The sequence below is a fragment of the Homo sapiens genome, chromosome 15 (genome assembly GCF_000001405.40).
Source record: "Homo sapiens chromosome 15, GRCh38.p14 Primary Assembly".
Lineage (NCBI taxonomy): Eukaryota > Metazoa > Chordata > Mammalia > Primates > Hominidae > Homo > Homo sapiens.
In genome coordinates, this window is record NC_000015.10 from 70766283 (window position 1) to 70779156 (window position 12874).

General features: G+C 41.1%; 1 protein-coding gene across 1 annotated transcript in view; it reads right to left on the reverse strand.

Annotated features, from left to right (window-relative positions):
* Nucleotides 1-12621, reverse strand: part of UACA (uveal autoantigen with coiled-coil domains and ankyrin repeats) — a 124350-nt gene extending 111729 nt beyond the window's left edge. Inside the window, exon 1 of the mRNA XM_017022395.2 lies at nt 12500-12621. Within this exon, the coding sequence (XP_016877884.1) occupies nt 12500-12526 (27 nt within the window). The 5' untranslated portion in view covers nt 12527-12621. The remainder of the gene's footprint in view (nt 1-12499) is intronic.

Below are 12874 nucleotides of genomic sequence, written 5' to 3' on the forward strand. Positions count from 1 at the left end.
ATTATTAGCATTCAACCAGACAGGTTGGGTTTTATTTTGTTAACTCTTATCACTATTATTTATTTTTATCTTCCCTTCAGAGCAAAGGGCACTTATCAAACCTAGATGACCTTTTGTTTGTTATCACACTGAGCCTATATAAAATATTTTTTTGTTTTACTTCTTTTTTTTTTCCAATATTTATTTATTTACAATATATACCAGGAAGGGTAATGCATTTTTTAAAATTACTTTACTAGATTATATATACACATGGTAATCTCAAATAATACAAATGGAGCAAGTTGATCTGCTTACCACCCCTATTTTGATCCCTGCTGTCAAGGAACTTGTGTTCTGGATTAGATAACAAATGTGTAAGCTGTATGCTAACACATACAGTTTAACTGGACAATCGCTTACTGAATCGTGTAGTAAGATTGCAGATGGTATTTAGGGAAGGAAAAGATCAACAGATAAGTTTGCCTGAAGGGAGGCTATCCAAGGTTGAGTATCCATTCAATGAATACCAACAGGTGAGAAGTAATACCAGATGGGCAGAGGATACCCAGGGGACCTGCCAGAACAGGGAAGAGAACACAGTCGACAGATGCTCACTGATAACTCAGATGATGATAACGGCAAAAACGATGACAAATATGATTTCTCAGAAGAAGAATAAAGAATCCACACAGAGGGCCGGGCACAGTGGCTCACACCTGTAATCCCAGCACTTTGGAAGGCCGAGGCGGGTGGATCACGGGGTCAGGAGATCGAGACAATCCTGGCTAATATGGTGAAACCCCGTCTCCACTAAAAATACAAAAAATTAGCCAGGCGTGGTGGCAGGCACCTGTAGTCCCAGCTACTCTGGAGGCTGAGGCAGGAGAATGGCGTGAACCTGGGAGGTGGAGCTTGCAGTGAGCCGAGATGGCGCCACTGCACTCCGGCCTGAGCGACAGAGCAAGACTCCATCTCAAAAAAAAAAAAAAAAACAAAAAACAAAAACAAAAACAACAACAATAAAAAAAAGAATCCACACACAGGCCGGGCATGGTGGCTCACAACTGTAATTCCAGGACTTTGGGAGGCCAAAGTGGACAGATCACTTGAGGTCAGGAGTTTGAGACCAGCCTGGTGAACATGGTGAAACCCCATCTCTACTAAAATACAAAAATTAGCTGGGCGTGGTGGTGGAAGCCTGTAATCCCAGCTACTGGGGAGGCTGAGGCAGGAGAATCGCTTGAACCCAGGAGGCAGAGGTTGCAGCGAGCCAGAATAACGCCACTGCACTCCAGCCTGGGTGATAGAGCAAGACTTCATCTCAAAAAAAAAAAAAGAATTGACATACAAAGTCTAAAATTTGCACATAAAATGAGTCCTTTTCAAACATAAAGATCTCCTTCCAGACAAGCTTTAGTTATGAATTCTATATCCAATGACTTCCCTCTTCATTTTCAGAACTTCTTGCTGCTCCGAGTAGCCCTGGGGACCCAGTGAACAAAGCCAGTGAATAATTTCATGAAGGGGCCCATGACATCAGTCATTCTCTCAGATGCCAAAGCAAATGGCTGGCAGAACCACGTGTGGCCACAGAGTCATGAGGAAAGGCACTTCTACCCAGAAATCATAGGCAGCCCAGGAAATGAGAGACCTGAGGCAGTTCTCACACCCTCTTCTCTTGCCACATTGAAAACTAAAACATTGCATAAAAGAGCTTTAAAAAAATAAATAGGTCATCTTCGGCACTAACTTTAAAAGAATCTGTATTTTTAGTAAGCTCACCAAAGGCTGCATCTTAGAAAACTAGAATGAGAAGAAGAAAAAGGGAAAGAAGATGGTGTCTGCTCCGCATAACCATAGACCCTCATGTAAGTTTTCTTAGTTACTCAGCACTAAAATTTCAAGTGGTATCAATTCCTTCTTACAGAAACCACTTCTTTCATCTCCCCTGTTGAGGATTGTTATGCGTTTAGCTATAGCAATCTTGAGTTTACCACTTATCTTCCAAAGAAGGCTGCTTTCTACCTCTCTCTGTCTTCCTTGGCATTTACAGACTGTCATTCACTTATGACATATCGAGTGTGCCATTAGTTTCGATACTGAAAGAAAAAGTGAAAAAACAGGAAGGATCATGGTCAGGAACAAAACTAGACTTCCCCAGCATAATTGACCTTATACCTAAAAGCAGTTGAGATAACCACTGTGTTTTCTTTGGATTCAGGTTTAACATCAAGTCTTGATTACACACAATCCAGAAGTACCCTTAGCTTCACTTTAATGATAAGACTGATGGCCCTGAGTGCTTATGGTTGAAAGGCAAAAAAAACCTCTTGATTGCCTCTTTTAAAACAGGCTACTCAGCCTGGAGCCCAGATAAACACCAGGAATTTGGTTCTGGGATCAGTAACCATCTGACTCCATAGTAAACTTTCCTGGACCTTGGAGTTTTCTTATCTTGGCCAGGATACCAGGATATGTGCAATGAGCCGAAAAACTTTCAAAACTTCAGCACTGTCAAATAAGTTGGATAGAAAAGTTCCTTGATTTTAAACTTAAAATATGGCAGATAAAGGCTATCTCTATAGATTTTAAATGATGGTTTTACTTGTCCTGCTTGTATTTTTTCCCCTCCAGATTTCCAAGGAGACTTTTAAAATTCTGGCAAGGTGTTCGATACTCTTAACTGAATGATCAATTACGAGTAAATTACATGGCTGGTTCAATACCACCAGTTACTCCATCACAACCTTTGCTACTCATGCTAACAGAAGAACACGGCAGACAGAATAAGTTAAGATAAATCTCACTTTCGGGCCCGGCGCGGTGGCTCACACCTGTAATCCCAGCACTTTGGGAGGCCGAGGCGGGCAGGTCACGAAGTCAGGAGATCAAGACCATCCTGGCTAACACGGTGAAACCCCATCTCTACTAAAAATACAAAAAATTAGCCGGGCGTGATAGCTACTCAGGAGGCTGAGGCAGGAGAATGGCGTGAACCCAGGAGGCGGAGCTTGCAGTGAGCCGAGATGACACCACTGCACTCCAGCCTGGGCGACAGAGTGAGACTCCGACTCAAAAAAAAAAAAAAAAAAAAAAGATAAATCTCACTTTCAAATGTACTTGGGAAATGACCCGAGCTTTATGGTAGATGATGAACAATGACTTTACAGTCATTTAAATTGAAATTGCTATTGACTACATTGGTTTCAGTTATGGGAAAGGGAAAGGGAAGGTCATAGGTAAAATCTGGATATAGAAATGTTATAATAAAGTTATATATAAACATATTTTTATTATATTTTATATCATATAAAATTATCAATAATATATGTTTTAAATGTGCTATTTGGAATTCTTTCATCAAATATCCTTATAAATTAATACATCTTTAAGTAAATCCTGATTTTTACATTAAAAAGGAACCCATATAAGTGTAGATAAAATGTGTATTTTAGGCCAGGCACGGTCACATCTGTAATCCCAGCATTTTGGGAGGCTGTGTCAGGTGGATCATATGAGATCAGGAGTTCAAGACCAGCCTGGCCAATATGGTGAAACCCCATCTCTACTAAAAATACAAAAATTGGCTGGCTGTGGTGGTGGGCACCTGTAATCCCAGCCACTCAGGTGGCTGAGGCAGGAGGATCGCTTGAGCCTGGGAGGCAGAGGTTGCCATGAGCAGAGATTGCGCCATTGCACTCTAGCCTGGGCAACACAGCGAGACTCCCTCTCAAAAATAAGTAAATAAAAAAGAAAAGTGTATTTTAAAAGGTTAATTTAAAAAAATACTTACTGCATGATATAATACATGGTTGATTGATTGATTGTTTTTTGAACATTTGATTACCAAAAGAACCATTCCCTTCCCTTTCTGGAAGGAAATAGTTCATGAAAATTATTTTCTGCATGCTCCTTCTTCAAAACTACTTGAATCAATGTTTGTTTTCATTAAAAATTAAAATATAATTTTGTACCCAATTGTTAAGTAATATTTAACTCCAACATTTATTTGGCAGAAACGTTTAAATTAAGGTACAATTCTTATATACAGTAGCATTATTCTGCATTGCATTTAGGCCATCAGGACTATTTTAATAGCATATTTTATTCAAAGAGATTTGTCCACTCTTATGTCTTCATGGATTAACCAGGTATATATATTCTTTACATCATCTATATCTATTTAGTACAAATATCAAAAAATATTTGATAATAATGAATCAGTGTATACTTTCCCTCTTGCTGTTTTAAGAATGTTGTTGCCACAAACAAAATATTTAAAGTAGCCAATAAATTAAAATACCAACACATGCTGAACTTCAAAAGAGCTACATTTTAATTTTGCCAGGCTAGGGAGAAGCATGTTTTATGCTCCATAAACTTCAAAACCCTCCCTGGACCTAAACAATAATTAAGAACAGTTCCTTTGAACCTTAGAAGGGTGTAGTCCATGAATTTACTTGAGATCAAGACATCGCATTTTAAGGCTAAACTAAAAGGCATATTTCTTCTACTACTGAGACATTGAGCTCTAAGAGAACGATAAACTCTCAAGATCCATGAACTTTTTGGCTCATAACTCTGAAGTGGCACTCATCAAGTCAACAAATACAAAAAAGCCTAAAACCCCTAACACCCAGAGGGTTGAGCTCTTTTTAGGCAAGTCAAACCCCAGCTAAAACTACCTTGGGGAATTCCCAAATATGAATCACAGCAAATCACCTAACAACAATAGAGGTTGCTCATAAACTCTTACAGCCAGAGAGCTCCCATTCAATACTACATGACTCCAAGTCAACATTCCTTGACAGGTAGCTGTGCGGTCTATGCCAGAATGTTAACACTTTGAATGCTTTTGTTTAAATCACAATTCCATCCAGAAAGAAATTGAGGCAACTTGTGACAAATTTCATTACCGTGCTTCCTGACAACAAAGGGAGGAAATCAACCTCAGGAAGGAAGAACTTATGTTCACTATTGGAGATACCGTGATATTCATCCTTGAGTTTGAAATTTGGCTTTCAGCTTCCTAATAGCCAAGGCAAAACAAAAAATAGAAACTGACAGTGACAGCTTTGAAACCAGAAAAGGAAAAGGCACTGAATATTCTCAACAGAGATAATGCTTTCCTGCTGCTACATTCTGCAATAAATTTCTCATAAGAGTGTGCCTTTACTTACAGAACAGTGAGCAGTGGAATAGATAATCCCCTCAACTATTAGAAATATCTTTGTTGGGTGTCCAGAGTGTTCATTCCTCCAGCAAGTATTGGTTTTCAGATGATGTGTGAGATGATACTGAGGAATCAGCAGGGAACAAGTAAACAAGCAAATAAGTAAGCGACCAAGATCAATTCAGAGAATGGTATATGGGGAAAATAAAAAGGGTAATGTGCTAGAGAACAAAGTGGCAGGCAGGGATGGGGAGAATGATTGTAGATTGGGTAGTTGAGGAAAGTCTTTCTGGAAAAGTGACTTTGAACTAAGGTCTGAATTACAGAAAGGAGCCTGTCAAGCATAGATGTGGAGCCAGAACACTCCAGGCAAAGAAAACAGCAATGCAACGGCCCTAAGCAGTGTGGTATGGCTTGGCTTGTTGCAGGAGCATACTGAAGGCCAGTGTGGCTGGAGCATAGTGGGAGAAGAATATGGGCAAGAGGAGGTTGGAGAGACAGGCTGGGGCCAGCACAAAGAGGGCCTAGTGGACCAAAGAAGGATTTCGAATTGTGTTCTAATAGGAAGCTAACTAAGTAGGGGATGATGTGATCTTATTTATATACTAAAAAGATCTTTCTGCAGCTAGGGAGATAACTGATCATAAACGACCAAAGGGGAAAGCAGGAAGCCATGAGCAGGACTGGGATATAGTCTAGAAATAGAGCTGCCTCACTGGTAGACTGGATGCAGGGAGTAAGACATTAAGAATCTAGGTAGTAAGATATTAAGAATCTAGGGCGCGGTGGCTCACGCCTGTAATCCCAGCACTTTGGGAGGCCGAGGCGGGTGGATCATGAGGTCAGGAGATCGAGACCATCCTGGCTAACACAGTGAAATCCCGTCTCTACTAAAAATACAAAAAATTAGCCAGGCGTGGTGGTGGGCGCCAGTAGTCCCAGCTACTTGGGAGGCTGAGGCAGGAGAATGGCATGAACCCAGGAGGCGGGGCTTGCAGTGAGCCAAGGTTGCGCCACTGCACTCCAGCCTGGGCGACAGAGGGAGCCTCCATCTCAAAAAAAAAAAAAAAAAAAAAAAAAGAATCTAGGTAGATGGTGCTGCTTACTGAATGGGGATGACTATGGGAGCTATGTTTCCAAGGGAAAGTCAAGAGTTCTGTTTGGTCATATTGGTTTGAGTCACCCACTGAGCATCCAAGTGAGGATATATTAAGTAGGAGGCCTAGATAGCAAGAGTGAAATTCATTAATTTGGAAGTTATGGCCAAATAAATGTAATTTAAAGCCATGAGGCCAGATAAAATCTGTCATGGAAGAAGAGGGCCAAGGGCCTAGATGTGGGTACTGCAACATTTAGAAATCAAAGAGAAGGCTGGGTGTGGTGGCTCACGCCTGTAATTCCAGCACTTTGGGAGGCCAAGGTGGGTGGATCACCTAAGGTCAGGAGTTTGAGACCAGCCTGGCCAACATGGTGAAACCCCGTCTCTACTAAAAATACAAAAATTAGCTGAGTGTGGTTGTTGGCACCTGTAATCCCAGCTACTCGGAACGCTGAGGCAGGATTGTGTCACTGCATTCCAGCCTAGGCGACAGAGCAAGACTTCATCTCAAAAAAAAAAAAAGAAAAGAAAGAAAGAAATCAAACAGAAAAAAAAAGGTACCAGCAAAGAAGACTGAGAGGAAATGGCTAGAGAATAGGCAGGAACTAGACAATGTGACACAGCAGCCAGGAGAGGATGGTTTTTCAAAGATCAACCCTACCAAATACCACTGAAAGATGGAGAAGCACAGAGACAGAGGAGCGACCACTGGGTTTGGCAGCACGGGTGTTATTAATAGCTTTCACCAAACAATTTCCATCACTTTTGGGGAGAGAAGCTAATGAAAGTAGACTGGAGAGACAATGGGAGGTGATAGGGTGTTCTGAAGGAGAGCAGAGAAATAGGGATAGCAGCTGGATAATGACAAGACATCAGTGGAAAGTTTTTTAGTTTAAGGTGGGAGAAACTAAAACATTTTTTGTAGGCTGGGAGGAGAATGATCCAGTAGAGGGGAAAGGACTAATGAAACAGAGAAGGGGACATCTGTAGGAGTTAAGTCTTTGAGGACAAAGGGGATTTGATCCCTCAGTTAGGAGCTTGGACATGTCATCCGCAGTAACAGGATAAAGGCAAAAAGATGCAGGTACAGATAAGTGTACGGTGGTATATTCAGTGGAAGGAAAAGAAGGTCCCAACTGGCCTGCTTCTATTTTCTCATGAATCATGATCATGACTTTACAGGGAGATGGGCAATGAAGAAACACCACTTTTGGAAATTTGAGGACAGATAAGAAGATATGAAATAGCCAATATTTTTCAGTCTTACAATTCCAAAATATCAACTTGGTCTGCCTGATCTATGAAATACCCAATGTGATTTTGAGAGTGTGAAGAATTTCTCAATTGGTAATTTCTCAGTCTTTCTACTAGCAAAGGGATTAGCTTGTACAGGGACTGCCAATATCTAAGCCATCAAATAGTAACTGCTTAATTAATGTTCCTAAGCTATAGAAGGATTGGCCAAAGCATTTCTTCACCAAAGCACCACATCTCACCCTTTTCTGTATGTATACCCCATAGCACAAAGTACTGCTATTACTATTACTACACAATCACTAAAGTTTATTGAGATATTACCATGTGCCAAGCACTGTGCTAAGTTCTTTACATGTATCTCTTTTAATACTCCCAGCAAAGAAATGAGCAATATATACTACTATTATCCTAGTTTTATGAATGATGAAGCTGAAGCTTCCAAACGCTAAGTTATATCAATATTAAAGACTGGGCTGGGCGTGGTGGCTCACTCCTGTAATCCCAGCACTTTGGGAGGCCGAGGCGGGCAGATCACGAGGTCAGGCGATCGAGACCATCCTGGCTAACATGGTGAAACCCCGTCTCTACCAATAATGCAAAAAATTAGCCAGGCGTGGTGGTGGGCGCCTGTAGTCCCAGCTACTCGGGAGGCTGAGGCAGGAGAATGGCGTGAACCCAGGAGGCGGAGCTTGCAGTGAGCCAAGATCGTGCCACTGCATTCCAGCCTGGGCAACAGAGCGAGACTCTGTCTCAAAAAAAAAAAAAAGACCACATGCAGTTGTCCATGAAATGGGAAGGACAGATAATTAACTATTATCAATCGTGTCATGTAGTTATGAGTGGAGTTGTATAAATAAGTGTAAAACCAAAACCTAGTAAGGTATTTATGCTTGTAAATAGTTTGCCCATATAGAAAAAAACCAAGACTTGATTAAAATGATTTATACCTATAATGATTCACTATTGAAAGTTAAAATAGGCTGGGTGCAGTGGCTGACACTTGTAATCCCAGCAATTTTGGAAGCCAAGGTGGGGGGATTACTTCAGGCCAGGAGTTCTAGACCAACCTGGGCAACATAGTGAGACCCCATCTCTACAAAAATAAAATAAAATTAGCCAGGCATAGTAGCACACACCTGTAGTCCCAGCTACTGGTCGGGGGAGGCCAAGGTGGAGGATCACTTGAGCCTGGGAGGCTGAGGCTGCAGTGAGCCGAGATCACGCTACAGCATTCCAGCCTGGGTAAAAGAGTGAGACCCAGTCTCAAAAAAGAAAAAAAAGAAAATTAAAATACTTCAGACAGAAAGTCCCAACTGAAAAATGGAAATTTGGGAAACCCTGTTGACAGAACAAGGTCTATTGAAGAAGAGACTCAACCAGTAGTATACTGGTAACCTATTAGACAGCTGTTTTTTTATAGGTGGGAATTGGGGGGCTAATTTATAGCAATCGTCAATTTCAATGGTATAAATACTTACACCATGGAATTCAAACTGTCAGTGTGACATTAGTCATCCCTCAAAAATTCTTGAAAATCTACCAGTCAGCTCTTGTGAGTCAGTTCCAGCACTCCACTGGAAGAAGCTAATATGAACCCTCTGGCACCACCAGACCTCATGTTCCCTTGGGTATGTCTAGCAAGGATCACTTTGGGATCTCAGAACTGCAGTCAGCCTGAGGTTTTAGCCCTTCTCCTATGGACCAAACAAATGAAGTAAAAAAGGAACACCGGGCATGAATTATGCTGATTCTAATGTATTTTTGATATTGGAGTTAGGAATAGGTATGAGAGACCATCTTGTTTCAGTCTTTGCTTTTTGCTTGTGTTTTCTCTCTTTTTTTCCAAAGTATTCAAAAGATTAATTGAATAAAATATAATCAGATATTAAAATGAACATTAAAAACTGGATATAGAGATTGTCAGAGTGGTCACTTCCTGTGTTTCAACATGCTTGTGTGATTCCATGCCTGTATTCCTAAACAGTACTTACACAGCTTCCCCATGTGAGCGCCTGAGAAGTTGGTATTGATTTATTTGATAAGTGACTGAGTTTTGTGTATGAAAACAATTCACGCATAGAAATTTAACTTAATGCCATCTTAAACAAAGGATTCATTGACCTAATTTCAAGCTCATGGGTGATTGTTACGTGAACTTTCAGAATTATGTCTTTCCAGTTTCATTCTTGATTCACAACCAAACAGGTATGGTTTAGACTCTAGGATTGAAACAAGGGTCTAGGGTAGAATCAAGTTTTCTTTCAGACTTGTCCCACAGATTTTTAAAAATATCAGAGCTCCTGGTGTTATATGAACACTGCATTCTTTTGTCACCTCCAACAAAAAAACTAATCAATGCTGCCTAAAATTGAGATTCTAGATAAATATCTCAAAAAATAAATGAATAACAAATAATGTTATTAAAAACAGGGAAAATTTAAGCAACATGAGAACTTACGACAGAGAAAATTAATTAATTTATTTATTCATTAAATATTTGCTGAGTATTTACTTACTAAGTGCCAGGCACTGTTTAGAATCTTTGGGATTCATCATTGCCTCCAAAGGACAGAGGTTCCTGTTTTCCTCGGATATATCCACATGACTAATTGCCTTACCTCCCTCAAATGTCTTTTTTTTTTTTTTTTTTTTGAGATGAAGCCTCACTCTGTCACCCAGGCTGGAGTGCAGTGGCGTGATCTCAGCTCACTGCAACCTCCGCCTCCCAGGTTCAAGCGATTCTCCTGCCTCAGCCTCCCGAGTAGTTGGGATTACAGGCAAATGCCACCATGCCTGGCTAAATTTTTGTATTTTTAGTAGAGATGGGGTTTCACCAGGTTGGCCAGGCTGGTCTCAAACTGCTGACCTCAGATGATCCACCTGCCTCAGCCTCTCAAAGTGCTGGGATAACAGGCGCGAGCCACCATACCTGGCCTAAATGTCATTTTTTAATGGAGTCTTTGACCTATTCTGCCTTCCCCATCCCTGCCGCTTCTGAGTCCCCTAATTTTTTTTCCATAGCACTGGCATACATATCACCTTCTGAAACACTAAACTGATTATATATAGTGTATCAAAAAGTTATAAGTGCTAGACTGATTGGAACAGGGTGAGAAAGGGTAAGAGAGGGAGGAAATGACCCAAGAGATATAGTAGGAGCAGGAGTCTAGATCATGTAGTGCCTAGCAGGGTATCATAAGGGCTCAGGCCTTTTATTTGAGGGGCATGGGAAACCACATCATCGTTTTGCAGTAATCCAGGTGAGAAGCAATGGTGACCAGACCAGGTTAGTAGCAGTAAAGAAATGATTGGATTCTAGACAGATCTTGAAGGTTGAGCCAACAAAAATTAATGCGAAATGTGAGAGTCAATTATGCATCTGAGCGCCTGGAAGGACAGAGTTGTCATTAACTGAGATGGGGAAGGCTGTGGGTGGAGAGGGTTGTGGGGAGGAAATAGAGAAGGTCAGGAGATTGGTATCAGCCATGTTTATTATGAGATGTCTATTACATATCCAAGTGAAGATGACAACTAGCAGGTTTGAGAAATGATTCTGGAGGCCAGGAGGGACATATGAGATGGAGAGATAAATGTGGGAGTCATCAACATACAGCTGGTAGGAGACTGCATGAGGTCACCAAACGAGGAAATATAGAGGCCAAGGACTAAGCTCTGGGAAACTCCAGTATCAACCAATTGGAAGACAAGGATCCTATAAAAGAGAAGGAAAAGTGCCATACAACGAAGAAAAAGGAAAACCAAAGGGTATGGAGCCCTGGAAACCAAGTAAAGTATATCAAGGAAGAGCTCATGGTCAGCTGTGTCACTGCTGCTAATCAGTGTGCTGGGTGAGGACTGAAATTACCATTGCATTTAGCATGATGGAAGCCATTGGTAACCTGGACCACGGGCAAGTAGTGTTGAGGGGGAAGTGAGAACAAAAGTGACTCATTGGCTTTAAGAGGAAATCGGAGGAAAAGAACTGGAGACTACATTAATAAGCAACTTCTTCAAGTTTTGCTGCGACGGGGAGGGAGGAAATGAGGCAGAAGTGGTGGAGAAATTTTTCTAAGATGGGAGATATTAACAGAATGTCTTCAAGCAAATTTTATATACATGGTTACAGGTACACACCCCAACTTTAGCACTTGTATTATTCCATTTACATGTTTGTCTCCCCCAATAAATTGTGATAATATATACATTCTTCCAGCCTGGGCAACATGGCAAAATTCCATCTCCACAAAAAACACAAAAATTAGTCAGGCATAGTGACATGGGCCTATAGTCCCAGCTACCCAGGAGGCTGAGGAGGGAGGATCACCTGAGCCCAGGAGCTCAAGGCTGCAGTGAGCTGTGATCGTGCCATTGCACTCCAACCTGGGTGACAAAATGAGACCTGGTCTCAAAAAAAAAAAAAAATATTGAGAACAGGAACCTTTTTTTACTCAAACTTTACATGCCCATAGGCTAACCCAAAGTACTCATTTTGTATCATAGCTGCAGCAAATCACCAGAAATTTAGCAGCTTAAAACAACACAGCTCTGTAAGTTAGAAGTCTAACACAGTCCTCACTGAGCTAAAATCAAGCTCTGGCAGAGTGTTCATTTGTTGCCTTTGTCTGCTTCTAGAGGCTGCCCTCGTTCCTTGGCTCATGGCTCCTTTCTTGTCTCCAAAATCAGCATCCTTCCAACTCTCTGACCATGTTTCCACAGTCACATCTCTCTCTGACTCTGAACTCAGCTAGGAAAGATTTTTTTATTTTAAGGAGGCAGGTGATTAGATTGGACCCACCCAGATTATCCAGGGTAATCCCTGCATGTCAAAGTCCTTAATTTAATCACATCTACAAAGACCCCTCTGCCCTGTATATGGTAATTTATTCACAGGTTCTGGGGATTACAACATGGACATCATTGCATGTCATTATACTGCCTATTATATCTGGCGACTCACACATAAATAAACAAATGTCTGGAATACAAACCTTATATGTTTTTTCTCTCATGGCCATTTGTCTACTGCATTCCAAAGGCCTGACTTCCTTAAGAAATGTAATCTCTGTATGAGAGCAGAAACTGTTTCACTTTTGTTCTTCACTGTATTCCCAGCACCTAGTACAAGACATGAAGTAGGTGCTTAATAAATATTTGTTGAGTGACTGAATGAATAAATAAGTGAGTAAACCTATTCTATCATGTGAGCTGCCCTAGCCGATCTCTTCTTTGGGCTCAGCAGATAATCTCACTCCCTTAATGGAATGTGGCTCCTTCTCCAGGAGCGGGGTCAGTTTATCTTCCCTGCCTTGTTACTTCTTTCAGCGTCTGAGTCTACCTTTAGCACATCTTTTCCCTGAGGCACG